The following is a 25,241-nucleotide window of genomic DNA, read 5'->3' as shown; positions in this document are numbered from 1 at the left end:
TTACCTCAAATTTCAAAGGCCAGGGCGATCCAAGCTGATATTTGAGTTCCATTACCAGGCATATTCCTTACAACAAGAAGAATGTAAATTCTGTGGAAATTCTAGAACTTCTTTTTTACATTTAAACACAATTCCTTTGTTCCCATATCCTGAAATCAGTAAATTTAAGCAATTTTATTTTTCATTCTGTGCTTCAGGGATCTATGAGGGTCAACACATATTTATCACACGCTGACCTTGTGCTCAGGCCTATAGGAAAATGAACCTCCCTGCCCGCAATGACCTTAGAACCTAACTAAGGATATGGTTAAAACAAGCGCAGGATTGGGTGAGACCTGCTCAAGGGTCAGGCGCTGGTTTGTCGGGGAGAAATGTTGCCCAGGAAGGACAGGTGTGAAAGAAAGAGAAGATCCTGCAAGACCGGAGGGCCCAGGAAAGTCTGGGGGACTCAAAGGAGAGTTTCAGGATTGACCATGGGTGGACAGGGCTCTGCAGACCAGGATCTTTTCTATGCACACTTGGGGCCAGAAAGTTCTTTGTGGTGGGGGCTGTCCTGTACAATGCAGGAAGCTCAGCAGCATCCCTGGCCTCCACCCACTCAATGCCAGTGGCACTCCCTCCCTAGTTGTAAATGTGTGCAGACATTAGTACTTGTCACCTGCAGGGAAGAATCACCCCACTGAGAACCACATGCTGAGTCAAGGCAACAGCATAGGAATTGGAGCACGCAAGAGAGCTGGTCAACACAGGTGAGCTCTTGTGTGGGCCTCTCTATGGGCCTCCAGCCAGTCCCCAGACAACTCTGCTCTGGGCACCAGTGGCCACGTTCTCAGGGCAGGCACTACTGGTGATCATTCTACTCACACCTCTCTCTGGCATCAATGGCCTGATTACACACTGGGGATAGTAGGTAGTAGGTATATTTAGAGGGGCACAAAAATAACCGTGGCTGCCAAGCCAAAAAATTCAGAATTGCTCTCCTTAGTACAGGTTTAATATCGCTAATCTGACTTCAGAGTTTTGGATTAGGGATGCCAAACTGGTAAGTATAATGCAAAGATTCCAAAATCCAAAAAATCTGAAATACAAAACACTTCTGGTGGCAAGCATTTGGGACAACAAAGTGTGGTATATTTCTGATGAGATTTTGTCGTGTTTCAGAAAAATTAATTTGATAGTGATGTGCCCAATTGAATGCAAGGAAGGAGCAGGGTTTTCTGACCTGGTGATTGTGGATACGCCTCAGGAGGCTGATGACAATGAAACTGCGCCATCATTGTGTGGGTTCATTTGCTTTTCTGAGGAGGGATTCCATAGATTTCATCCGACACTCCACAGGTTGAGAGCTCTTGGATTCAACTGGTGCCCAAACACAAGACAGGACCACCAGTGCATATTTGAATAGGACAATCCTTCTGCCCATCCATCTGGTCCCTGCTTCCACTTCCCACAAGCAAACATCCAGTCCACAAAACTCATTGAGCAGCTGCAGTGAGCTGTGTGCCAAGCATGTGCCAGGGACTGGAGCTGCAAAGAGAGATGGAGGCCACAGGGAAGAGGCCACGAGATAGTCAGTTGTCTCATGAAGTAGAATACAGGTGAAGCCAGATTATCACAAGCCATGAAAACCTTCTGGAGGTGACGTCTGAGCTTTGTCTTGCCAGTTGATCTCGCTAGAATACATACGAAGTAAAGAGGGGCCTGGAATTGCTGGTGGCTGAGGAAATGGGAGAGGAAAAAGCATGCCGGACAGTCACGGTGCAGGAAGCCCTCATCACTACTAAGACTTACTGACTAATCGCACACGGGGGAAGGAAGCTTGGGTGGCCGTGAGTCAAGGATCCAAGCCTGGAAGCCTGCAGACAATACTGACTGGGGTTGGCAGCAGAAAGGGGAGGACGTTTTGAGTGGGAAGACAATGAGTTTTGGTTTTAGATATCTTGAGTTGAAGGCAATGAGAGGATACCCAGAGACTATTCAGAACATCTTGAGAGGAACTGGGAATACAGGACTGCTGCTGGGGACATGTCAGGGAAAGAGGTGGGCAGAGAGGAAATGGGTCTGTTTTCTCAGGGGCAGTGAGGGGCACCGTCGAGCCAGCCTTCCACAGCTCTGGTTTCTCTGGGCACTTTCTTTCATGGGCTTCTTTGTGGGTCACAGACATGTTCGGTGGGGAGAAAAATCTCAGTAGAGCAACCTTCATTAAAGTTTCGGGTTCCAGGTTTGAATGAGTAGTTGGGTGTTGAGCAGGATCCTTCCCCGGAGTGATGAGGGGGAAGGGATGTTCAAGCACTGGGTGGAGGGTAGGCACATTCTATGTTTTGATAGAACCTCCTAGTCACATTCACCCCCATTGTGATGCCAGCCAGTGGTCCTCAAAACGTAGTGTCCATGAGAACCACTGAGAGCTTGTTAGGAAAAGCCATCAGCTCAGCCCCACCTCCCTAGAGATTGTGATGTTTAGGTCTGAGGTGGACTCATATGGGTTGTGTTTGTTTGTTTACTTTTTACACAGTAAATTTGGCTTTGTGGAGGTCAGTGGTGGAGTGTGCGGGTTTTATGAATTCTAGCACAGGGAGTGGATTTGTGTAACCACCACAATGCATGCAGAAAAGTTCCACCAGCCCAACAAGCTCCCTTAGCTACCGATTTCTACTCACACCTGACCCCACCTCACTCCCTTGGTAAACACAGGGCTTTTCTCTGTCACTATTGGTTTTTTATTTTCAAGTCTGGAATTATACAGTGTGTAACATTCAAGCCTGGCTTCATTCACTTAGAATAATGCCTATGAGATTCATCTGAGTTATTGTCTGTATCAATGGTTTGTTCCTTTTTAGTGCTGAGTAGTGTTCCATGGTATGGATGGACCACAGTTTGTCAGTTACCCAGTTGAAGGACATCTGGGTCCTTCAAGGTTTTGGCAATTGGAATCTGCCTTTAAACAAGCCCACTAGATGATTCTGATGCAAATGGTCCCAGATCACACAGTGCCCTAGGTTGTGCACAAATGCGAATACTTTTAACTTTGGCTGATCTGATCAGTGGGAGTATCTTATTATCAGATTTGCATATTTCTGATCGTCAGGAGGGTTGAGAATTTTTTAAAATCCTTATTGGCCATTTATGATTCTTCTTTGAATTGCCTACTCTTATGGTAGCTACACCAGGCCAATCTGGTTCGACTTTTATGTAACAAAGTTGTGAGTTGTTGTTCAGTTGCCATGGACCCTCAGTTCACATAGCCTGAGCACACCCAGGTAAACAAAGTGTGCAGCCACAGGGCAAACCTAAGTGCTCAGACTGAGAGCCAGGGACTGAATTAAGAAGAGGACACTGCATGCCTGGATTCAGGATCCAGGATCCAATCGGATGGAGCTTTGGCCTCACCCCATGGCAAGATCCAGTCAGGTTGTGCCACCAGGCATCACCTCATTGCAATATCCAATCAGATCACATGTCATTACCCTTTGCTTATAAAACCTGACCTGGCCCTTGGCTTGGGCAGGTGCTGATTTGGGAGCTATCGCTGGTCTCCTTGCAAGTAGTAAAATTTCCCTGCTAAATCCTCTGCGGGTGGTTGTCCTCCACCAAGTGACCAAGCCCACCCATTGTGTGGATAACGATATCTTTTGCCTTGTATTTTTTTTTTTTTTTTTGGTAGCCAAATTGTTTTGTTTTTCATGGTGTCTTTTAGGAGCTCTTTTATGTTAAGGATCTTAACCCTTTGTTGTAAGTATTTTTTCACAGTCTGCTGTTTTTCTACTGTTTCTTGACCTGTTGAAAAATAACAAGCACGGCCCACTCTGACCAAAATTCCTAGAACCACAGCCTGCAGATGAGAGTCCAACAAAGGCTTAAGAATAGCATGATCTGTTTGGATGACTAAATTTTTGCCTGCTTGTTCAACAAGGTGTTCAATATAAACTCAACCTTAAAGGCACAGTCTGCTTTCAGCTGTATTCACTTTGGTTCTGTGAATCACAGGGTCCTTTACTTTTTATTGTTCCAGCTGTTTTCCTGTTTTGGGCAGAGCTGAAGATTGTTTTGATTGTTTATGAACCTAAAATTCAGAGAAATTTCAAACCCTTCACAGGCATGTTCTGACAGTAGATGGGAGGACTTTTCCTAATGTGAAGTCTCACTTTTTTTTTCCTAATCAGCTGTTAAAATAACCTTCAGTCAGCTGGGCATGGTGGCTCACACCTGTAATCCCAGCACTTTGGGAGGCCAAGGTGGGTGGATATGAGGTCAAGAGATAGAAACCATCCTGGTCAACATGGTGAAACCCCACCTCTACTAAAAATACAAAAATTAGCTGGGTGTGGTGGTGGGCACCTGTAGTCTCAGCTACTCAGGAGGCTGAGGTAGGAGAATCACTTGAATCCAGGAGACAGAGGTTGCAGTGAGCCCAGAACACACCACTGCACTCCATCTGCCTGGCAACAGAGCGAGACTCTGTCTCAAAAAAATAAAAATAAAAAAATAATAATAATTTCTCAACCTGGAAGACATAATATCTCATTTACCCAGCACATAAGTGCGTTTTTTAATTAAGAGACATGACTTGAGAAACAATGCATTCTTTTAAAAATTTGACTCATGGCTGGGAGTAGTGGTTCATATCTGTAATCCCAGCACTTTGGGAGGCCAAGATGGGCAGATCACTTGAGGCCAGGAGTTTGAGACCAGCCTGGCCAACATGGCAAAACGACATCTCTACTAAAATTAGCCAGGCATGATGGTGCATGCCTGTAATCCCAGCTACTCAGGAGATGGAGGCAAAAGAATCGCTTGAACACAGGAGACAGGTTTAGTGATAGTGCCAGTGCACTCCAGCCTGGGTGACAGAGGGAGACTCTGTCTCAAAAAAAAAAAAAAAGAAATTTAATTTATTTTGATGGTATTCTTTCTAAAGTGCTTTAACTACTTTTATGTGTCTCAGAAGATACTAAGCACAGTTTAATCCTTTCTTCAAAGGTTTGAGATATTTTTCAGTGGAAACATTCATTTTAACTGGGCACTGACCAAAGTGTGCTCACCTCTGGCTGCCAGTTCATCCTCTATGCACCCTGCCACCACCAGTGGGCCCCGAGTGTCCTCGATGCTTCTCCTCATGGGAATAAGTTACCTCTTTTCTCTCTTCTCCTTCCTCTTCCTCATCAGCTGTTGCTTCCTCAGAATTTCCTGCTGCATGGGGTGCTGTGGCTTCTGATGGCTCACAGTTGCTGTTCCGTGGCTGGCTCTGTGACCTCCAGCCCCACATCTCAGCAATCCCAGGAGCAGTCGGTAGTGATGCTCCATCCCTACCCCTAGGCTTGGCGCTGTGTCAGTGGCTGCCTCTCTTTAGGAAAGGATATCATTGTCCATTCCTTGTTTCATTTGATCAAAATCATGTATCATCTACCAATCCCAGGCAGTAGGTGTCGGGATACAGGGGTCAGACCTTGCCCTCAGTGGCCTAGTCAAGAATAGATGCCCTAACTTAACAAGAATGCCCTTGACCCTGTCTAGGTACAAATCATATCTCTTCTGGTCTCACCGAGGCAAGTGCTAGCCCTCCATCCTTTCCCACGAAGCATTCCCAGCCTGTGTTTCTCCCTGTGTCCAGACTGCCATCATCTGCATAGGAAACCAGGCAAAGGCAGTGGTCCTAAGGGAGAGTCAGTCTCCACCTGTGTGCATGGGCTCTGGACCAGACAGCAGCTCAGGGAACACCGTCAGCTGTGGGCCTATCTCATTAGAATTGCCATATGGCTTTCATATGTTTAAAAGGACACCGTGGTTCCAGAATTGTTTTCTGAAACTTATAAATAGTGCAGTTGTATTATAGAGGTCAATGGCTCTTATGTGCTGATCTGAAAACAAAACCATTACTTCTATTATTATATCTAAGAGAAAATTATGGAGAATTACAAGTACCTAGCTTATAAGTTACATATAGAATGCCTCATATTAGGAAATTGGGTAATGTTTGAAGTGTACTGTATTTTAATGACATAGGGGCCAGGAAGGTATAGGATCAGCTGTGTGAATAGTTCATAGTTCATCGCCTTAGACTGTTCAGTCTTTTGAGGTTTTTTTTGAGACAGTCTTGCTCTGTCGCCCAGGCTGAAGTGCAGTGGCACGATCTTGGCTCACTGCTGCATCCTCCACCTCCTGGGTTCAAGTTATTCTCCTGTCTCAGCCTCCTGAGTAGCTGGGATTACAGGCACGCACCACCATGCCCAGCTAATTTTTGTATTTTTAGTAGAGACAGGGTCTTACCATGTTGGCCAGGCTGGTCTTGAACTCCTGACCTCAGATGATCCACCCACCTCGGCCTCCCAAAGTGCTGGGATTACAGGCATGAGCCACCACGCCTGGCCACTTTTTTAGTTCTTATGCCTAATCTTTAAAAATTGTTTTTATGTAGGTCCTCACTTTCAGCTGCCTCCTTTTTCCCCCTAAATTCAGCATTTGCATCTCTAGCAGCCTTCTTTTTAATTATCTTCCACTGGCGTTTGGCTAGTCAGCAGGAATCTTGAGCTTGCTAGAACCGTGCACACAGTAAATAGATTCTGAGTGAAGGCAGGACTGGCTGAGGAGCAGTGTCCACACTTTGTTCCATCTATTTTTCTTTTTTCTTTTCCTTTTTTCTTTTTGAGACAGTCTTGCTCTGTTACCAGGTTGGAGGGCAGTGGTGGGATCTCGGTTCACTGCAACATCCACCTCCTGGGTTCAAGCAATTCTGCCTCAGCCTCCTGAGTAGCTGGGACTACAGGCACGCGCCACCACACCCAGCTAATTTTTGTATTTTTAGTAGAGACGGAGTTTCACCATGTTGGCTAGGATGGCCTCAATCTCTTGACCTCGTGATCCACCCACCTCAGCCTCCCAAAGTGCTGGGATTACAGGCATGAGCCACCACACCGGGCCCTGTTGCATCTATTTTTCTATTCAAAGCTCTTTTACTCCTGAATTTGTAACTGAGTTTCAAATACTTGAAATTGCCACTTAACATCCTCCCTGAAATTTTTTTTTTGTAGGCCATTCCAATTCATTATATTAACAATTTCTGACACATGTTTGTGAGTTCTGTGTGATACCATTACCTTTTCCATGTTTTGAACTTCCCCCTTTCTAGAGAGATGAGCTTCAGGGGCTGCTGGATGTACTCCACCTGGAAGCAGAGGCCGAGGACCCCTCCTCCTGGACTAGGGCTCACCTCGCCTCCTGACTGTATTCTGCCTGTGTTCTCCTCCAGTCCCACCCTTATTTCTCTTTGTCTAAATGGCAAACTCCCTTTAAGCAAGAATTCATGGCGTCTCCACATTCGGCCCTCAAGAAACTTTTATTGAGTTGAACTAAAACCAGGCATGTCTTAAGTGTTCATGGCTGATAATGCGGGATCCTTCAACGCTGGAAACGCCCAGATGGTAACGAGAGTTCTGATAGTGCCGGATCCTTCGACGCTGGAAACGCCCAGATGGTAACGAGAGTTCTGCATGGTCTCAACTTTCTTTCTTTTTTCTTTTTTGTTTTTGAGACACAGTTTTGTTCTTGTTGCCCAGGCTGGAGTGCAATAGTGCAATCTCGGCTCACTACAACCTCCACCTCCCCGGTTCAAGTGATTCTCCTGCCTCAGCCTCCTGAGTAGCTGAGATTACAGGCACCTGCCACCATGCCTGGCTAAGTGTTATATTTTTAGTAGACACAGGGTTTCACCATGTTGGCCAGGCTGGTCTTAAATTCCTGACCTCAGGTAATCCACCCGCCTTGGCCTCTCAAAGTGCTGGGATTACAAGCATGAGCCAATGTATCTGCCCTTCAACTTTCTAAAAAGCTCAAAAGGAGCCCTATCTCATTTATCATGAAATGACCCTACAGCTTACTTTCTTTGGCTTTCATTCTTTATATATTTTTCTCTATGTGAGAAAAAGAGCAAACCCGCAGCTATGCAAGGGGACAGGCCCACAGGCTCGTTTGTGAGGAAGAAGGCTGCTCACTAGGCCCCTGGGGTAAATGGGTGCTGGAGCCTTGCAGGGGGGATGGAATCACATCCTGTCGGGGCTCAAATGTGGGAGGCCCATGCCAGACCCTGGCCCAAGGACATTTATGTGTGACCCTGATGGACAAATGCAGATTGCTTGGTAGATGAATCCCACCAAGATGGAGGCCCCTGCAGGGTTTTTTGAGTATGTTTTTGGGTTTTCTTTTTGTTGTTGTTGTTGTTAATGAGCAACTTTGGGGGTTTTACAAAGAATAAAGATAAATAAGAGGAGGGCCCATTACCTGGTTCTTCTCATGACTAAGATCAAACATCGTCTAAACAGAAGCCTGATGTGTGGAATGTGTGAGAAAAAAACCTGAGTTCATCGCTTCAATAAAACACCAAGGCCAGGCACAGTCGTTCATGCTTGTAATCCCAGCACTTTGGGAAGCTGAGGCAGGCAGATCACCTTTGGTCAGGAGCTCGAGACCAGTCTGGCCAACATGGTGAAACCCCGTCTCTGTTAAAAATACAAAAATTAGCCAGGTGTGGTGGTAGGCACCTGTAGTCCCAGCTACTCAAGAGGCTGAGACAGGAGAATCACTGGAACCTGGGAGATGGAGTTTGCAGTGAGTTGAGATCGTGCCACTGCACTCTAACCTGGGCAACAGAGCGGGACTCCGTCTCAAAAAAAAAAAAGCACCCTAATTGAACTAATTGAACTACAGAACCAACAAAAAGTCATACCATCTCATCTCATCTTATCCATCCTCACATCCATCCACCCATCCAATCATCCGTCCATCTACCCATTCACCCATCCACCCTTCCATCTATCCATCCATCCATTTGTCCATCAATCCATGTATTCATCCATCTATCCTCCCATGCATCCATCCATCCATGCATTCATCCATGTATTCATCCATCTATCCTCCCATGCATCCATCCATCCATCCATGCATTCATCCATCCATTCTCCCATCCATCCACCGATCTTATTCATCCATATATCATATCCATCCATCCATCCATCCATCCATCCATCCATCCATCCAACCATCCACCAATCCATTCATCCACCCACCAATCTACCTATTCACCCTTCCATTTTATCCATCCATCTATCCATACATTATTCATTCATTCACTGACATTCAATACATTTTTATTTCATGCCTGTGGGATGCCAGGCATTGTGCTTGATATTTGGAATACAGAAGAAAATGAAAATGAAACAGATGTGGCCCAGCTCCTGCCCTCTTGGAGTAAATCTTACATTCAGGATAAACTGAGACAGGAAATATAGATCAAGTGATGTCCTAGGACACACAGAGGAGTAGAACTGGTCTGACTTAACCTTGGCAGCCCATGCTTATGAGAGGCTAAATATATCTCAGTGCTCCCTGGACTCCGGTCAAAGCACTCCCTCCCTCTCAGGCCTCTCCTCCAGAAGGAAGTCAGATGACCATTTCCTATCATGAATTCAGCAGTGTCAGCCCACTTACATCCAGGGCATGATTTTTTATGTCATAATAAGCCTAAAGGGTGGAATTCAAAATACTTTTGTTTATCACAATTCATGTGGTTTGGGGTTTTCTTAAATAAGACAGTGACAGGCACAGATACAGACATCGCAGGGTGTTGTGGTTCTGGAAAACACGTGCAATGGGGCCAAGGGAAAAGACAGCTCCTCTTGAAGTCAGAGGTGACTCATGAAGCACAGCTCTCTTTTTGTTTTCAGGATTCTGTGAGGTCCATGACTTTCCAACAGTTCTGAGTTTTGTCACTGCAGAAGGGCCCATGCTCTTTATCCCAAGGCCACCCCATGGGAGAGATGGGCTGGACTGCCAAGTGTGTTTCTGGATTCCTACTCATGGAGGCCAGGTTCTTTATGCAGCCTCTGCCTTACAGCGCTCCTCTAGATCAGAGCTCAGAGGATGGCCTGGCACAGTCAGCATCAGTGAAGGGGCAGGAGGAACATTAACGACCTGGAAAAATGCAATGCTAAGTGGCAAAAAGCTGGTTACAGACACAACTTATACAGCATGACATGATTTGATATGAATGGAACACTACAAAGACAAATACCCATTCCTAACAGCTGCGATGTTTTCTTCTCCAGCTCTGTAGTTTATATTGTATCTTTAGGTCTGTAATCCAGCTTGAATTATCTTTGGTATCAGGTATGAGGTACCTGCTGAGTTCATCTCCTTTTGCATGTGGATCTACAATTGCCCAGCACCATCTGCTGAACAGACTCCCCTTTCTCCATCAAATTGTTTATGCACCTGCGCTAAAAGTCAATACACCATATTGGTATGGGCTGTTTCTGGACTCTTTTCTAACCCACTGATCTATTTGTCTATGTTTAGGTGAATACCACATGGTCTTTTTTACTGTAGCTTTATAGTCATCCTTGAAATCAGGCAGCATGCGTCCTCCAACTTTATTCTTCTAATCTATTTATTTCAGTTTTGCTAAAATATTTCAGACATCCGGTATTTGCAGATAGTATGACATTTCCTAATTGTCCCTAACAACATTGACATTCATTCCTTCTTGTCCTCTAATTCTCGGCCCCTCTTCGTGTTTCTAGGAACGATTATCTCTCTAACGTTCCTTGTTCCTCTTTCCCATTGAGACCCTGACCGCCCTTATAGAAGGAAGCAATACACAAAACAAAGCACCATCAACCATTATCCAGGGCCAGTGGATCGCTTCTCCTCCCACGCCAGCCATCCGAGAAAGGCTCAGCTATGCATCTGCCCCACACATCACAGAGCAAGAGTGTGGTTCTGGTAATCTGTGGGTGTTTTTTTTTTTTTTTGAGACAGAGTCTCGCTCTGTCACCCAGGCGGGAGTGCAGTGGCACGATCTCAGTTCACTGCAACCTCTGCCTCCCAGGTTCAAGCAATTCTCCTGCCTCAGCCTCCCGAGTAGCTGGGATTACATGTGTGCGTCACCACGCCTGGCTAATTTTTATATTTTTAGTAGAGATGGGGTTTCGCCATATTGATTAGGCTGGTCTTAAACTCCTGACCTCATGTGATCCACCTGCCTCGGCCTCCCAAAGTGCTGGGATTACAGGCATGAGCCATCGCGCCCGACCATCTGTGGGTTTTAATTTCACTACAACAAAGTCGCTGGGCAGTTGTGTATTTGCTGGTATTTTGTTCTTTTGTGAAATTAAGTACGTTAGAATTTAGGAAATCAAATCTCAATTTTATCTCTGAGTTGCTTTCTGATCTTGAACATCTTCTCTCAGTATCCAACTCACTGTTCTTATGAGAGTTATACATCCTCTGAATCCTGGCTTTTAGATAATAAGGTGCAACATAGTACCCCAAAAATATCTGATAAATGACACATACCCGGTAATATGACTGTGGCTTTAGAAAAAAAAAAAAAGCACAACACTGTAGTTAATCACAGGGTCTATTTCCGGTGTCACAGTGAGTCTCACAGGACAAACACATCAAACTAGGTCCCTAAAAATGTCAAGAAAACCCACATATCAGCCTAAGAGGATGATCAGAAGTATGCTGAATCATGTTGCAGCTAAAAAGGACCGGGGGAATTTTCTCAGCCTTGTTAATCTGCTCAAGAGGCTTAAAGTAAGATGAGAAAAATGAAACAGAGAAGAGCTGGAGGAAGGAAAACCCAGCAGATGTGTATTCAGGAAGTTACCTTTTGAAACGTGCGAGGTGCTCCTCTGAGTGGCCAAGGATCTGGAAGACTGATTATAACGTTCTAGGGAAATGGACTCTGTGCGTGGGAGTCCCTTGTCAGTGGGAATGCCCCAAGGTGCACACTTAACACTCAAAAGGTAGCAATTACCAGCACAGTTGTGTAATCCTTCCACCCCCAGAGCTCTCAGACAGTCATGTGTCTCAGGATTCAGGTCCTGCAGTAACTACGGCTTAACAAATCATCATTGGTGATATCTCTGGAGTATTTAGTACATTCCAGGCACCAAAGCACATGTATTAATTCATTTAATCCTCACACACAACCCTAAAATATGGCTATTACTACTATTCCCATATTACAGATGAAGAAACCAAGGCCCAGAATTTTGCCAAGGTCACCCAGCTAGAAAATGACTATGCTCAGACTTGAGTTAAGCAGCCTGGCTCTAAAACCAGAGCAAACAACCCTGATGCCATCCTGCCACCATCTCTCCTAGTCTTCAGCCATCCTTCATTATAAAAGCATCAGATTCTGTACACACACACACGACACACACATACACACATGACACACATACACACACGACACACACGTGACACACATACACACGACACATACACACAACACACACATACACATGACACACACGTGACACACACATACACACACACAGTAGTGTTCCTTGGCTACACAGTTCATTGGTTCATTTGGTCAGCACTGTCTCCCAGTGATTGTCGAGTTCCCCCCCATTCTATGTGACCACCACCATCCCACCCTACCGAGAACAGTGAGATTGATGCTCACCTTGAGTCCTTGGGTCCTGAGGTCTGTCTTTTCTTCCTCCTAGCAAACTCACTTCCCCTGTCTTTCTCTGAATCCTACTTCCTTGTGTTCAGCTGCGGACCTGTGCTCATTGGGCCACTTTTTTTTTTTTATTTTCCCTGACAGAGTCTTGCTGTCACGCAGGCTGGAGTGCAGTGGCACGATCTTGGATCACTGCAACCTCCGACTCCCTGCTTCAAGCTATTCTTCTGCCTCAGCCTCCCAAGTAGCTGGGATTACAGGCATGTGCCACCATGCCCAGCTAATTTTTGTATTTTTAGTAGAGACGGGGTTTCACCATGTTGGCCAGGATGGTCTTGATCTCCTGACCTCGTTATCCGCCTGCCTTGGCCTCCCAGAGTGCTGGGATTACAGGCGTGAGCCATGGCACCCGGCCTGGGCCACTTTTCTCCCAGCCCCTGTCCTGGCCTCAAAGCGCTGGCTCCCAACCCCACATGACTCTCACTTACTTAGCTGCAGGAGACGTCACTTGTTTCAAGCAGGAGGTGAGCTCTGGAGTTCAAGTTTCTTCCCAAGAACATTTTTATTGTTCCATATAACACAAATACAGAGCCCATTTGCCAAATGCTCACTCGATAGGTTATTCTAAGGGAACATCCCAGGCCCCTTTCCAGAGGAAGGCAGGGCGCTTCCGGGAGGAAGGGTGTTGTGGGAATCCCACTGGAAGAGGCTGCGGGAAAGCCCGGGTGTGACTGGGCCTCCCTCAGCAGACGGTTTAGGTTGAGCAGTGAGTTCCTCCACATGTGGGGTCTGGGGCTGGCTTCGTGGGGTGACACCCAGGCTGTCCCTGCACTCAGAAGGGCCCACGCTTGCTCTGCTGTCACTGGATTGACATTCTTAGTCATTTTTGAACCATGGATCCCTCATTTTCATCTTGCAATGGGGCCTGCAAATCCTGTAGCTGGTCCTGGCCAGGCGTGTCTCCTGGAGCTGACTGGCTGGAGGCTGGTCCTCCACCCATGCTGGTCTTTGAGCTGGCCGATGCTGGTGATGTGGACCTTCAATACTTGTATGAACCATCCGTCACACAAGTACAGGTCTCGGTGAGTTCCTCATGCAGGGACAGCCCTGTACCTTCCTGCTGCCCTCTGCCCAGGCCCCAGCGGCAACAGCTCCTGTGGCTTCTCCAGCCCCAGCACGCAATCCGGGGCTTCATTATGAGCCAAGTGAGGCCAGCACCCCTCTGTCTTCTGGGGACTTCAAATCGCTTTGCATTTTCACTTCAAGGCAGCATCTCTGGGCCACCAAGGGCTGCAGGTGTCCAAGCAGAAATGGCCTCTGTCTGAGGCTGCTGCAGACGGTACTTGTACAGACAACAACCTCTGACCTTGAGGTCACCCTTTGGCCAATGACCTTCCATTGCTAAAGGAAATCAGGAAGCTCATAGGTTATGGTGCTCCTGAGCCAGTTTTCACACCACACTGCACTCTGGCTGGGGCTAAGTCCTTGCCCTCCCGCGGCACTTTGAGACAATGAATCATTCCCTTGTTGGGTGGGGAGGCACAGGTGGGTCCCTATCCAGGGATCATGACCAAACACACCCAGGCACCTGATGGCTGCCCCCAGCCCTCCCTGAAGAGCTCAATCACTCCTGTGGAGGTGGAGCTCAACAACACAACACTTCTCTGAAAAGAACTTTGGGCCTCAGGGCATGAGGGGGGTGTGTGATGTCATGGGGGCTTCTGGGCCCCTTTTCTGTTCTAGTGAACCAGAGAAGGTGATTGTGGCATCTCAGACCCCCAAGGAAGGGGGAGGCAGGGTGCAGCCACACAAACAAACAGTGAGCAAGTTCCCTGCGGGTTCAGAGCCCTGGCCTTGGCACCATCATTCACTCTGTAATCATTGAGTTGGTCCCCAGATCTTCCGCTGATTCAACGCTCATGTATTAACCTCCTGTCCATCTCAGTCGTGTGCTGGGCGAGGACCAGGACACAGGGAAGCCCAGTCACAGCCCCGAGGCACGAGACAGCAAAATCACTAAGCACAGAGCTATCAGGCCTCTGTTGCAGCGCTGGTAAAGCTCTAAGAAAGCACAGTTAAGCATCAGGAGGGTGTCACTGAAGAAGGGAGACTTAGGTTGAACTCCAGCTGGGACTCAGATGTGAGCAGTTGCCATGAGGCTCCTGAGAACTGTCTAGCTCCTGAGTGTGGTTCCCTCCCAGGTAGGACGGGAGGGGTTCAGGGGAGGCAGAGGCTTCTGACTTGCCTTCCACAGTGCTAGGGAGCCAATGTCTGTCCTTGAGCAACCATAGCAATGTAACAAAACTGGTTCTTTATGGTTTGGGGACTGCAGCACTTTGCAGAGGATTGGCTGGGGAAAGACAGGTCAGTAGACAGAGGCCCCCTGGAGGTGAAGGTGCAGGCTGGGGAGTGGGCGTGGGAGATACAGGGAGGCTTGGCTAAGGCTGGCATTAGGGAGCAGGAAGACACAAAGCTCTGTCTCAGGCTTCTTGCTTGGGTGTTGTTCTGGGTTGAATCCTGATTCTCTTTTCCTCGAAAAAGAAAGTTTCTATGTTGAAGTTCAAAGCAGTTCTTGAAAATGTGACCTTATTTGGAGACAGTGTCTTTACAGAAGTAATCAAGTAAAAATGAAGCGTTAGGGTGGGCCTTAATCCAATATGACTGGTGTCCTTACGGAAAGGAGAAATTTGGAGACATGGACACACACGGAGAACATGTGAAGATGAAGGCAGAGATGGCAAACACAAAGATGGCTAGCAAACCACTAGAAGCCCTCAGAGGCTCCAACTCCGCCAGCACCTTGCTCGCAAACTTCTTGCCTCCAGAACCGTGAAAGTATAAAGTTTCCGAGATCTTAGGCCCCCTGGTTTGTGGTTCTTTACAGCTCTGACAAACACACACAGATGCCTATGAAAGGGTGATGGCCTCAGAGGGCTAGGGGCTGGGGAAGCCAGCCGGTTTGAAGAAGAGAGCTTGTGTGGGGTGGGACCTGCTGAGGAGGGGTCCAGCTTGGAATGTGGGAGTTGTCAGGAACCCCTGATTGGAGCCAAGGAACCTCCTGGCACAAAGCAGTGAGTTACCAGTCTCAGGGGACACTTAAAATTGGAGCTGGCAAGGGGAAGGATTAACAAAGGTGGCAGAAAACAGTCACAGAGGTAGGACAGGGCAGAAAAAAAAACAAAAAAAACAGTCACAGAAGCAACGAGAAGAAACTGTTGAGAGGGTTGAAACCCTGGGGACAAAGCAAGTGGGAGCAGGCCGCCCCGTTGCTGTTGAACGCCCCGGGAGTTCCAGTCCAACCGGGAGGTTTGCCTCCCCACTCCGAAGGAGAGGGGGCTGCCCAGGGGGAAAGGACTGGCCTTCAGAGTGAAAGGAGATTTTCAGCTATTTGTTATTTTGGCCATTGTCCTAGGGCAGGGGCCGTTTCTGAAGTTTTATGTGGAGACTGAATTTAAATCCAGCCACTGAGCTGAAGAGAACAAGATGTACTTTTTTGCTTTCTCTCTTTTACTCTTAGAAACTTCATGATGATCAACCACACCTCACATTTGCTTCATTCAGTCTATGGACCAGGAAGAATTTTCTGTGACACATTCAGGTTCTTACTCATTTACAGAGTCACAGATCTGTCAGCCTGGGAACCGGCCCCCAAATGGAAGACCTAGGCAGTTCTGATGGGTCCATCTGCAAGGTATGTTTTGCAAAGGGCCCCTTTACGTTGAATTCCCTTTCCCTGAAACATGGCAGGGGAGGAAGAAGACACACACAAAAACCCTGTGTTCTGAAATAACAGGAATTCAGTGACAGGCCTCAGAGGCTTGTTGTGTCCTTCAAAAGTCATCCTCAGAGGTAGGGCCATGTCAATGTGAGAATCTGTATTCAAATGAGGAAGCCACCTTACCCATGAGGGCCCTTGTGCTGAATTTTATGGAAAGATCTGGAAGTGTTGCCCACACTCAGGTACTATTAGCAAGTGTGGGGTTCATCCGTACATCAAATAAGGGAAGCTGATGTAGAGATGAACCCGTGCCTGCTGATTGGTAGGATTCGGATCTGCAGGATTATATGTGTGACGCTTAGGAGTTGGGTACAACTTTGTTAAAACAGAAACATTTTCTCACCACACCAAAGAGGCTGTGGCAAGGCCTGCTTCTCCCACAATCATCTGGCTCCCTCTAGCGGGTCCCTGGCCACTGGACAGTGAGGTGGAGACTATGGTCTCGCCCACGCTAGCTGACCGACCCATCTGTCAACTCCAGCCCAGAGCTGTGGGGAAAGGAGTCGGGGAACCACCTGGAGGCTGAAATTCGGATGGAGCCCTCAGCTCTCAGGCACCCTCCTTCGTGAAGCCTTCCCAAGTCTCCCTGTGGTTTATCACACGCTTATGTGTGTTGATGTATCAGGCACATATTGCCTAAGAATTCACGTACGTCTGTCTTTTTCTCTAGACCATGAATAACTTGAGTATATATTTTTTCTGTGTTCATTTTTGTTTTCTTGGCACCTAGTACAGTGCCTGGGACAATAGTGTTAAAAAATAAGTGTTTAGGCCCAGCGCGGTGGCTCACGCCTGTAATCCCAGCACTTTGGGAGGCCGAGGCGGGCGGATCATGAGGTCAGGAGTTCAAGAGCATCCTGGCTAATATGGTGAAACCCCATCTCTACTAAAAAAAACATACAAAAAAAAGTAGCCGGGCGCAGTGGCAGGTGCCTGTAGTCCCAGCTACTCGGGAGGCTGAGGCAGGAGAATGGCGTGAACCCAGGAGGCGGAGCTTGCAGTGAGCCGAGATCGCACCACTGCACTCCAGCCTGGGCGACAGAGTGAGACCCCGTCTCAAAAAAAAAAAAGTGTTTATTGACTTAGTAAGGAAATAAAATGCCAGCTAATTCAGGCTCCTGTGCTCCATATACAAATAAAGGGCTGGCACTGCCAAAGTTAATCTATACAACAGTGGCTAAGCTCTTATTTCTAAGGATGCAGATATTGGGGGATATGAACCTTTCATAATGCACATATTTTGACAGAGTTAAAGCCTTAAGTTTTCTGGAAGAAATAAAATGTTAACTGGATCACTACACTTTTAACTTCCATAATCAAAATATAAAATCCTATAAACACATGGCAGGAAGGTTTTGATGTGTGACTTACTGGGAAAGCCCAGGGGTCTAGGGTGGCCAAGGGCAAGGGGAAGAAATTCGGGGCAAGGAAGCACTGACTGTCCATGTCTGATGGGGACTGAACATGCTCTTGTCTTTCAAGGGGAGTCACAGAAGTGTGTGATGAGGAGAGGAAGAGATACAACAGATGTCTTATGAGAAGCAGAGGGAGGACCTCAAGAGACTGCCTGGCCCAGTCCCTCACTAGGCGTAAGAAACAAACTCACCCATCCAAACCCGAAGAATGGACTCAGAGACCCAGAGAACAGCGAAAGTGAGATTTTTAATAAACAGTCAGTCTTGCAAAATCGGGTGTCTGACGGACAGGCACACCCAGCAGTTTCAACAAGCAATTTGTCCACTAGTGTGCAGGCTCCTCCCCCAGTTTCCCACAGGCTGAGTACTATGGGGTCACAACCTTCCTGGACGTCACCTATTGATTGTTAGGCAGGGGCTTTAGGTGTTTTTGTTTGTTTGTTTGTTTTTAGGGTTGTCTTGCTGCATTTTGTCACAGCCCACAATGCATTGCAATCCTAGTCAGCTCAGGGGCTCTTCAAGTATTTCACTTACGACCTAAGTAGCTGGGCTGGCTGATAAGAACAGACAAAGGGAGCTATTTTGCAGGCTAGTAGTAAGCTTTCATTTTAGACTAAACTTCTTCGGTTCTGGTGAAGGCAACTAATGGGGGGTAAGCGGGGAAAGGGGGAGGCCTACAAGCAGGCATCAGCTATCCAAGCAGGGGCCTCGAATATCCTGTTTCTTCTGTAGTCTGCTGACCTAAGCCAATTTAAGGCACTTTGTCTTGGAAATGCAACACTGTATACATTATGTCCTTCACTGGTGAAAATGAGAGGGGCTGTGACTGACTCAGTCCCATAGTCACAGGCACCGGAACAGTCCCCAGCCTGCCCCTTGACTCAGAGCCCCCATCTCCAAACTGTGCCTCAGATTTGGGAGCACTAACGCGATAACTTTGACTTCTTTTGTGCTGTAGTGACCAGCCTTCTGAAAGTGCCCAGAAATTCTCTCTGAAGTGTGTTTGAGGCCATGGGACGGAGGGAAGTGGCCTTTTAGCAGTACTGGGCAGGCAGAATTGGCAAGAGTAATTGGAAAGCTAAGGTACCTCAGCAGCAAGAGGTCTGGGACCACAGAAGCAGGTCAGGAAGCTGTTTTGGGGCCACTACGACCTTTGGATGTGGACTTTGCTTTCAGGCTTACACAGTGCCCGTAAGTGAGCTGCACTGCAGCCCTAGCCCTGCCACTTGTGAGTGAGCTGATCTCAGCAGGGTGGTATGCTCCCTGCTCCGTGCTCCCCTGCTTTGCAACACCACAGCCTGCGTGGTTAATATCCCGGATGACAGTTGCTTGTTTTTATTCCAACATGACCAGTTAGAAGCAGGGCAACCGTGGACAAGGTGGTGAACCCCTTTGTACTTCTGTGTTTTCAGTTGAAAAATGGAGACGTCAAGTTCCCTAGTCACAGAGCAGCTGTGATGGGACCCACGTAAACAGCCCTGATCAGTAGTGAAGAGCAACATGTGGCACACAGGGCCTCCTGCACAAGCAACAGTCGCTGCTTGCTGTTACTGTGGGCTCCACGTTGGGATCAGACACACCTGTCTTCAGTGGCTTGCAGTTGCAGCAAGGACCGAATGTGAGTGAAAGCACTTTGTGCCTGGAAATGGACAGAACATTGAAATATGATGCCCCGAAAATCGTCCAGAAGACAGGTGTGGCCTGTGGGTGCTTGATACATGGTGGTGGCTTTGTTACTGAATAACAGGGAGGTATGATTGCAAAGGTCACTGTTGCCTTCAAACTCTACATTTTGGTTTGAATTCCTTCTGAAACTTGCTTCTTGCACATCTCTGCTCCTGTAGTCCATCCACAAAGGGCCATCTGAGGAAACTTGCTCTGCACCACGCTCCCCCATGGTGCCAGGAACACAGCAGTGCACAAGACAGACATGAGTCTGCTGGGAAAGAAACATTAGGCAAATACAGTCATCCCTGGGAATCTGTAGGAAATTGCTTCCAGGGCCATGGGTAAGACATGAAAATCTGCACATACTCAAGTCCCATAGTGAGTCCTGGGGACCGAAGGTTATGAAAAGCCAGGCTTCCGTACGGGCAGATTTAAATCCTGAGAATACTATATTTTCTATCTGTGTTTGGTTGTGGATACAAAACCCACGGACTGTATTTTTTGGAAAAAAAAATCCATCTCTAAGTGGACCCTCGCAGTTCAAACCGGTGTTTAAGAGTCAACTGTAATTTCAAATTGGTATCGCAACCTTATTAAGACTGTCATCTGGGATTTGATTTTATCCTTCTTAGAAGCTATTCAGTCAACCTGCTACTGTTTCCTGGATGTTATGTCCAGCCGCACTTCTGTGTCAGTTCCCCTCAGTCCCAGTTCCCTCACAGGTGACACAGCAGGCTCAGATGAATGCCGTGTGTGCAGCGTGAAGCGTGGAGCTTGGAGAAGGCGCTGTGCTTACAGCAAGCCAGAAGCCAGCCTGCTGTTTGCCTGGAGGATCATGGGGAGGGGTCAATGTTACCTCACCTCTCAGAGTTATCAGCTGGACCTGAGAAATGGGCCAGCTAAGGGACACTCAGGGCCTTGCAGTTGTGGCATGCTCAGCAAGGGACAGGGTGCAAGGATGGCCTCTTCCAACAAAGACATCAAAGGCTATCTATATACATCCATGATGCTATCACTTTAATACAACATTTTCTTCTGGTTTTATTCTTCCAGAATTTGCCTATGTACATACATATTTTTGGAATTGTAACCATGGCATATATAACACTTAACATGCTGCTTTATTCACTTAACTGTGTATCCTAAGCAGTTCCCCATACTTCCGCACAATTTTCACAATTATCTTGCACATTCCACTGTGTTCATGGACCATCATGGTTGGACATTTAGGTGGCTCCCACTTTTGTTCTTGGCCTGTCTTTCTGAAAACATACGGTGAGCACAGTAAAGACAAGACACTGGAGCTGGGCAGAGCAGATTCTGCCTGCCCGTGTGCTTTCTGGGCCCGCCTTCCATCCCACTGCTCCCTTCAGCATCCTCGGCCCAGGAGGATGAGACTTTCGGGAGCCTCAGGAGCTTATGCCCAGAGAAGAAAACACCTGGTTCTCAGCATCCCACGTAGTAATGATGTCGAATGCTCTTTCATCTACACACAGGGTCTATTCTAAAAGAAAACATTACAGGCAGGCAGTACCAGACCACTGTGCTTGCAGCCCTCATGAGAAGGCTCAGAAGACACAGGAGCTGCCCTGGGTGTGAATTTCGTGTCCATGCTGGCTTCTCGCAGTGGCCCTTGGCATAGGTTGGGATCTTGCAGCAAGATTCTTCATCGGTTTCTCCATCTCTGAAGACTTCTTGCCAACAGCTGTACACGTGAATATATTATTTTCTCTTATGCAGCTGTCTGTTTTACATGAGTAGAATGGATGTGTGCTTCAGGGTCCCAGGAGAAAACACATGCTGTGCCCAGACAAGACAGGAGCTGGGCTTAGAAAGGGCCCTGTTTACTCGAGGTGTGGCGGGGGGTTTAGCACCACAAAGGAAAGGGAAGTTGACTCCTACCCATGTGACAGGGAAGCTTGTACCACTCTTACCTACACGGAGAGCCCAGTATGAGAGGAGAGGTAGGTAGAATGGTCTGCATGGAGAGAGCTGGGGCATCTGGGCCCAGGTAGCTCCAGGACAACTGTGCCAGCAGCTGCTCTACAGTCTCCTCCAGGATCTCCATCTACTGAGCCCACCTGGAAGCTGCAGGGTGGAGCTCTAGTGTCCAACCAGGTCCATCTCCCAGAGTGCTCGGCAGGGCAGAGGAGCATGGGCAGCAGTCTGGAAGAGCAAAAGAAATCGGGCACAAAATTCCTAAGGAGACAGTAAGTTTGCCAAAGGGCACAGACACGTCCTAAATTCATAGCTTGCTAGAGTTAAGAGCATTAACAACAATAAAAATGCTCCTTGCCTGTAAATGGGATAATCATAGAATGACTAAATGAGGTCAAGTCACTCCAGGACCATGAAAACAGAAAAGAGCACTAGAAGAGGTTGAACTTCATGGGTGGGTGGCAGACAGTGCATGGGCTACACCGAGGTACTTTCCCCACTGGTACTGTCCCTAATTCACCTTGCCTGATGGCCTAGACTCAATGTTAGCAGCTGCCATGCTGGCCCACCTGGGGAAGGCCACAGAGGGTTCGTGAAGCAGCCTGCTGTGCTCTACTTAATCCTCCCATGACCTTTACCTGTTCCTCTTATCTTGCAGTTTTTGGAAGCATCTTTTTCTCTGGGGCTTTGTGATGGCCAATAAGGAGGCCTGAGTCTCCCCAGAAGTTGCCCAGCACCTACTTGCCCAGCCCGCACTCCAGCTGTGGGTCAACTGGGAAGGAACAAAAACAAGACAAGGGGCTCCCTTCTGCTCCCACTCCCAGAGAATGAATCCCCCAGCTGCCTGCCCGCTCCTCTTTAACTGAGTCTTCAGATGAGGTGAAGCGGTGGGGTCTTCAGATTATCCTGTCCTGGGAGCAGAAAGTTGAGTTGCAGAAGGAGGCCTCGTGTTTGAGGAGCTGGGGAACATTTCCTCCTTCATTGATAGGTTCCTCCTGTCTCAGGCCTGAAGCACATCTGAACGCAGAGGCAGGAGAACGGGCAAGGGAGAAATAGGTATGGCTCCGGGTGGGAGGAGGGCCCGGCATCAAAGGATCAAAGCCCCCACTTAGCATCACAGTTTGCCTGTGCACGTTTCTGTGAATTAGGCAAGCAAGAGATATATTATTACAGCATTCCCTAAACTCCATTTCAATCATACCCAATTTCAAAAGGTGACTAACAGGTGAGGTGGGATGGCAGAAAGATCCCCGAGTCACAAGCACCTGGAATCCCCAGGCTGGCGCTTTCTGAATCATTTAGTTGGATGAGATCTTAGAAAACCTTGCCTCACCCTTTCTGGAAGGCCATCATCACTTCCAGTGAAGCAAACCTGTTGCCTTCCAAAGCATCAACAGCTCTTATTGTTAGAAAATGCCACCTGAAATTTAGCTGAAACAGTCTAATGGAGTGCTCAATTCCAAATGAACTTCTCTACCTCATTAAGTAGAATAAGAAAATTGTAAGCCTCAGACATCTTGAATTTAGTCTTTGTCAAAATTACGGTGAGGCTTGATCCCTCAAACTTCAGTAGCAGGAGACTTAGAGGGCCCAGTTGCTGCTGACATTGTTAAGCACTGAACTGATATTAGCATTTGCTTAGAAAGACAAGAGAATACCCACATATCCAATACGTTTTAAGTAAAAATCTATACTTCTTTTGTATGTTGTCATTTAAAATAATGAATTTATCAGCTTAATTAGATAGAGCAAAAGTTTTTATGTAATTTGGAAAGTTTGGGTTAATTGTCCCACCTCGAGAACGTGGATGTTTATCACAGGAAATATTTGTCAGAGTGTTTGTTGTAGAAATCCGTGATGCTCACTTCAAGCTATAATCTGTGTTTGCCACAGAGGTTTGTTCTAATTCCCCAACCTTGCCACGACTGACCTGGGTCATCACCATGTGCTTATTGAAGAGCCTTGGAATACTGTATAGACCCGTACAGAGTTGTTCAAATAGGTAAGCACTTTCCTTCTGGTGAATTTTTTTTTTTTTTTTTTTTTGAGATGGAGTTTCACTCTTGTTGCCCAGGCTGGAGTGCAATGGTGAGATCTTGGCTCACTGCAACCTCCGCCTCCCAGGTTCAAGCGATTCTCTTGCCTCAGCCTCCGGAGTAGCTGGGATTACAGGCACCTGCCTCCACGCCCGGCTAATTTTGTATTTTTAGTAGAGATGGGGTTTTCTCCATGTTGGTCAGGCTGGTCTTGAACTCCCAACCTCAGGTGATCTGCCTGCCTCGGCCTCACAAAGTGCTGGGATTACAGGTGTGAGCCAACGCGCCAGGCCGAAAATATTTTATAATAAAGTGACTGTTGTAGATCAACTTTATAATACAATGCGGATTCTCAATTCTTATAACAAAGACTAATGTACATAAATTTCAGTATGTTTTAAAATTAGCCAGTACTTAGTAGAAAGCCCATATAGTTTACTGTAGCACTTCTGCACTTATAGTTTAGGTCTATCTAGATGTATGACTTCTCAGATGCTGCCGAATATTGACCTTTTGCATGGTATTCAGTCTTTGAATTTTTATTTCATAATATGCTGGAACCACGATATTCTATCTGATCAGCAACTGGTCTGGTATCTGGGGCTCATAATTTTCTTTTTCCGCTTCATATTTCAGACAATTGAGGACGACTATAATAGTTTCTCATTAGAAATACATGCTAATAAACATCATGTCTTTGGTATTAAGTGGCAATTAGATGAAACAACCTGAAATTCTGTCTGATACCAAGATTGAACTTTGCTGAGATTACTGTTTCACTCACCGAAAATATCAGAATACTCAAGGGAGTTATTTTTTTTCTTAATGTAACTTTCATAAAGGAAATGAAAGAAATGTGGAGACTGAAAACAGTTGTCTGGTGTCTCAATACTGCATGCAGGTTCAACTACATTCTAAGCAAGTTGACTGTTATAATACATTTCACATTTTCTGTGATTTTGTTTGTGCTGAGACCTTATGCAATTACAAAGCAGATTTTTTACACTAACCTACACTGAGAAAAGAAAACCACCGTTCCCCTTTTAAACAGGAGAGTGCCTCAAGTACACTCGGGATCCCTCTCACCAAGCACAGCAAGGCTTGTGACTTCAAGCACACCAAGCTTGTGACTTTTTCTCCTACAAGGTGCACCTCGTTTTTTCTTACTGACAAATTGGCTTTAAAGTAAAGTTAGTTCCCTATCACACTGGCCCCCAAGACTCCAACTCCTGCTTCTCTTGGGATCTCTGCCCAGAGTCCAATCTCCCCTAAGGCGTGGTGCAGTGCTGTGCCCACACCTAGGCTCTGGGGGTGGGCACCCTTTGACTTTCCTCATATCATTCCACCCTCGACACATCCAAATGTGAACACATCTTCTCCACAAAGTGCCCCTTCACCACGCCAGTTCCCAGACACTTTATTTCTTCCCTTGCCTAGAGTGCTGCCCCCAAAACCAGCCCCCCATCATTGGCCATGTCCTTGCAGAGGCTGAACCATCCCACAATCTGTCAAGGATATCAGGGAAGAGCATGAGCTGGATAGACTTCAGGCTCTGCCAGCAGCTACATTCTAGGGGTGCCCGGACGTCCTGGTCTCTTGAGATGAGATGGTCTTGTGTCTGGAATTGGTCTCACTGACTAAAAGAATAAAGCCGCAGACCTTCACAGTGAGTGTGACAGTTTTTAAAGATGGTGTGTCTGGAGCTAGTTCCTTCAGATGTTTGGACGTGTTCAGTTTCTTTCTGCTGGTGGGTTTGTGGTCTCGCTTGCTTCAGGAGTGGCTGCAGACCTTTGTAGTGAGTGTCACGAGCTCTTAAGGTGGTGCGCCTGGAGTTTCTCATTCCTCCCAGTGGGTTTGCCATCTCACTGCCTTTAAGGAGGGAAGCTGCAAAGCTTCGCGCAGTACGACAGTTTCCAAACATGATGCAAGCACAGCTT

At 47.0% G+C, this 25,241-nt stretch overlaps 2 long non-coding RNA genes across 4 annotated transcripts, besides 2 other annotated features; one reads left to right on the top strand and one right to left on the bottom strand.

Moving 5' to 3' along the window:
• Positions 1-151: 151 nt before the first annotated feature.
• Positions 152-24,170, top strand: LINC03066 (long intergenic non-protein coding RNA 3066). Its single transcript, NR_126020.1, has 8 exons — positions 152-749; positions 7,127-7,471; positions 15,987-16,160; positions 17,730-17,900; positions 19,075-19,280; positions 20,827-21,043; positions 23,162-23,270; positions 23,941-24,170. It is a non-coding gene; the product is annotated as a long intergenic non-protein coding RNA 3066 (long non-coding RNA).
• Positions 11,602-11,671: an enhancer, noted in NCBI's record as "active region_23799". NCBI's record gives its function as "activates an Ori minimal core promoter by ATAC-STARR-seq in GM12878 lymphoblastoid cells {active_cell/tissue: GM12878}" and the evidence as "EXISTENCE:reporter gene assay evidence [ECO:0000049][PMID:35858748]".
• Positions 16,268-16,327: an enhancer, noted in NCBI's record as "active region_23798". NCBI's record gives its function as "activates an Ori minimal core promoter by ATAC-STARR-seq in GM12878 lymphoblastoid cells {active_cell/tissue: GM12878}" and the evidence as "EXISTENCE:reporter gene assay evidence [ECO:0000049][PMID:35858748]".
• LIRIL2R (lincRNA regulator of IL2RA) lies at positions 17,890-25,241 on the bottom strand. 3 transcript variants are annotated; one of them, XR_926349.3, is made up of 2 exons: positions 21,265-25,241; positions 17,890-21,130 (listed from the first exon to the last, which is right to left on the bottom strand). It is a non-coding gene; the product is annotated as a lincRNA regulator of IL2RA (long non-coding RNA). The 3 variants fall into 3 exon arrangements; XR_007059907.1 differs by having other exon boundaries at positions 17,890-21,035; XR_007059908.1 differs by having other exon boundaries at positions 17,890-20,592.

This window comes from Homo sapiens, chromosome 6 (genome assembly GCF_000001405.40).
Source record: "Homo sapiens chromosome 6, GRCh38.p14 Primary Assembly".
NCBI lineage: Eukaryota > Metazoa > Chordata > Mammalia > Primates > Hominidae > Homo > Homo sapiens.
This window is presented reverse-complemented; position numbering and strand designations above follow the sequence as displayed.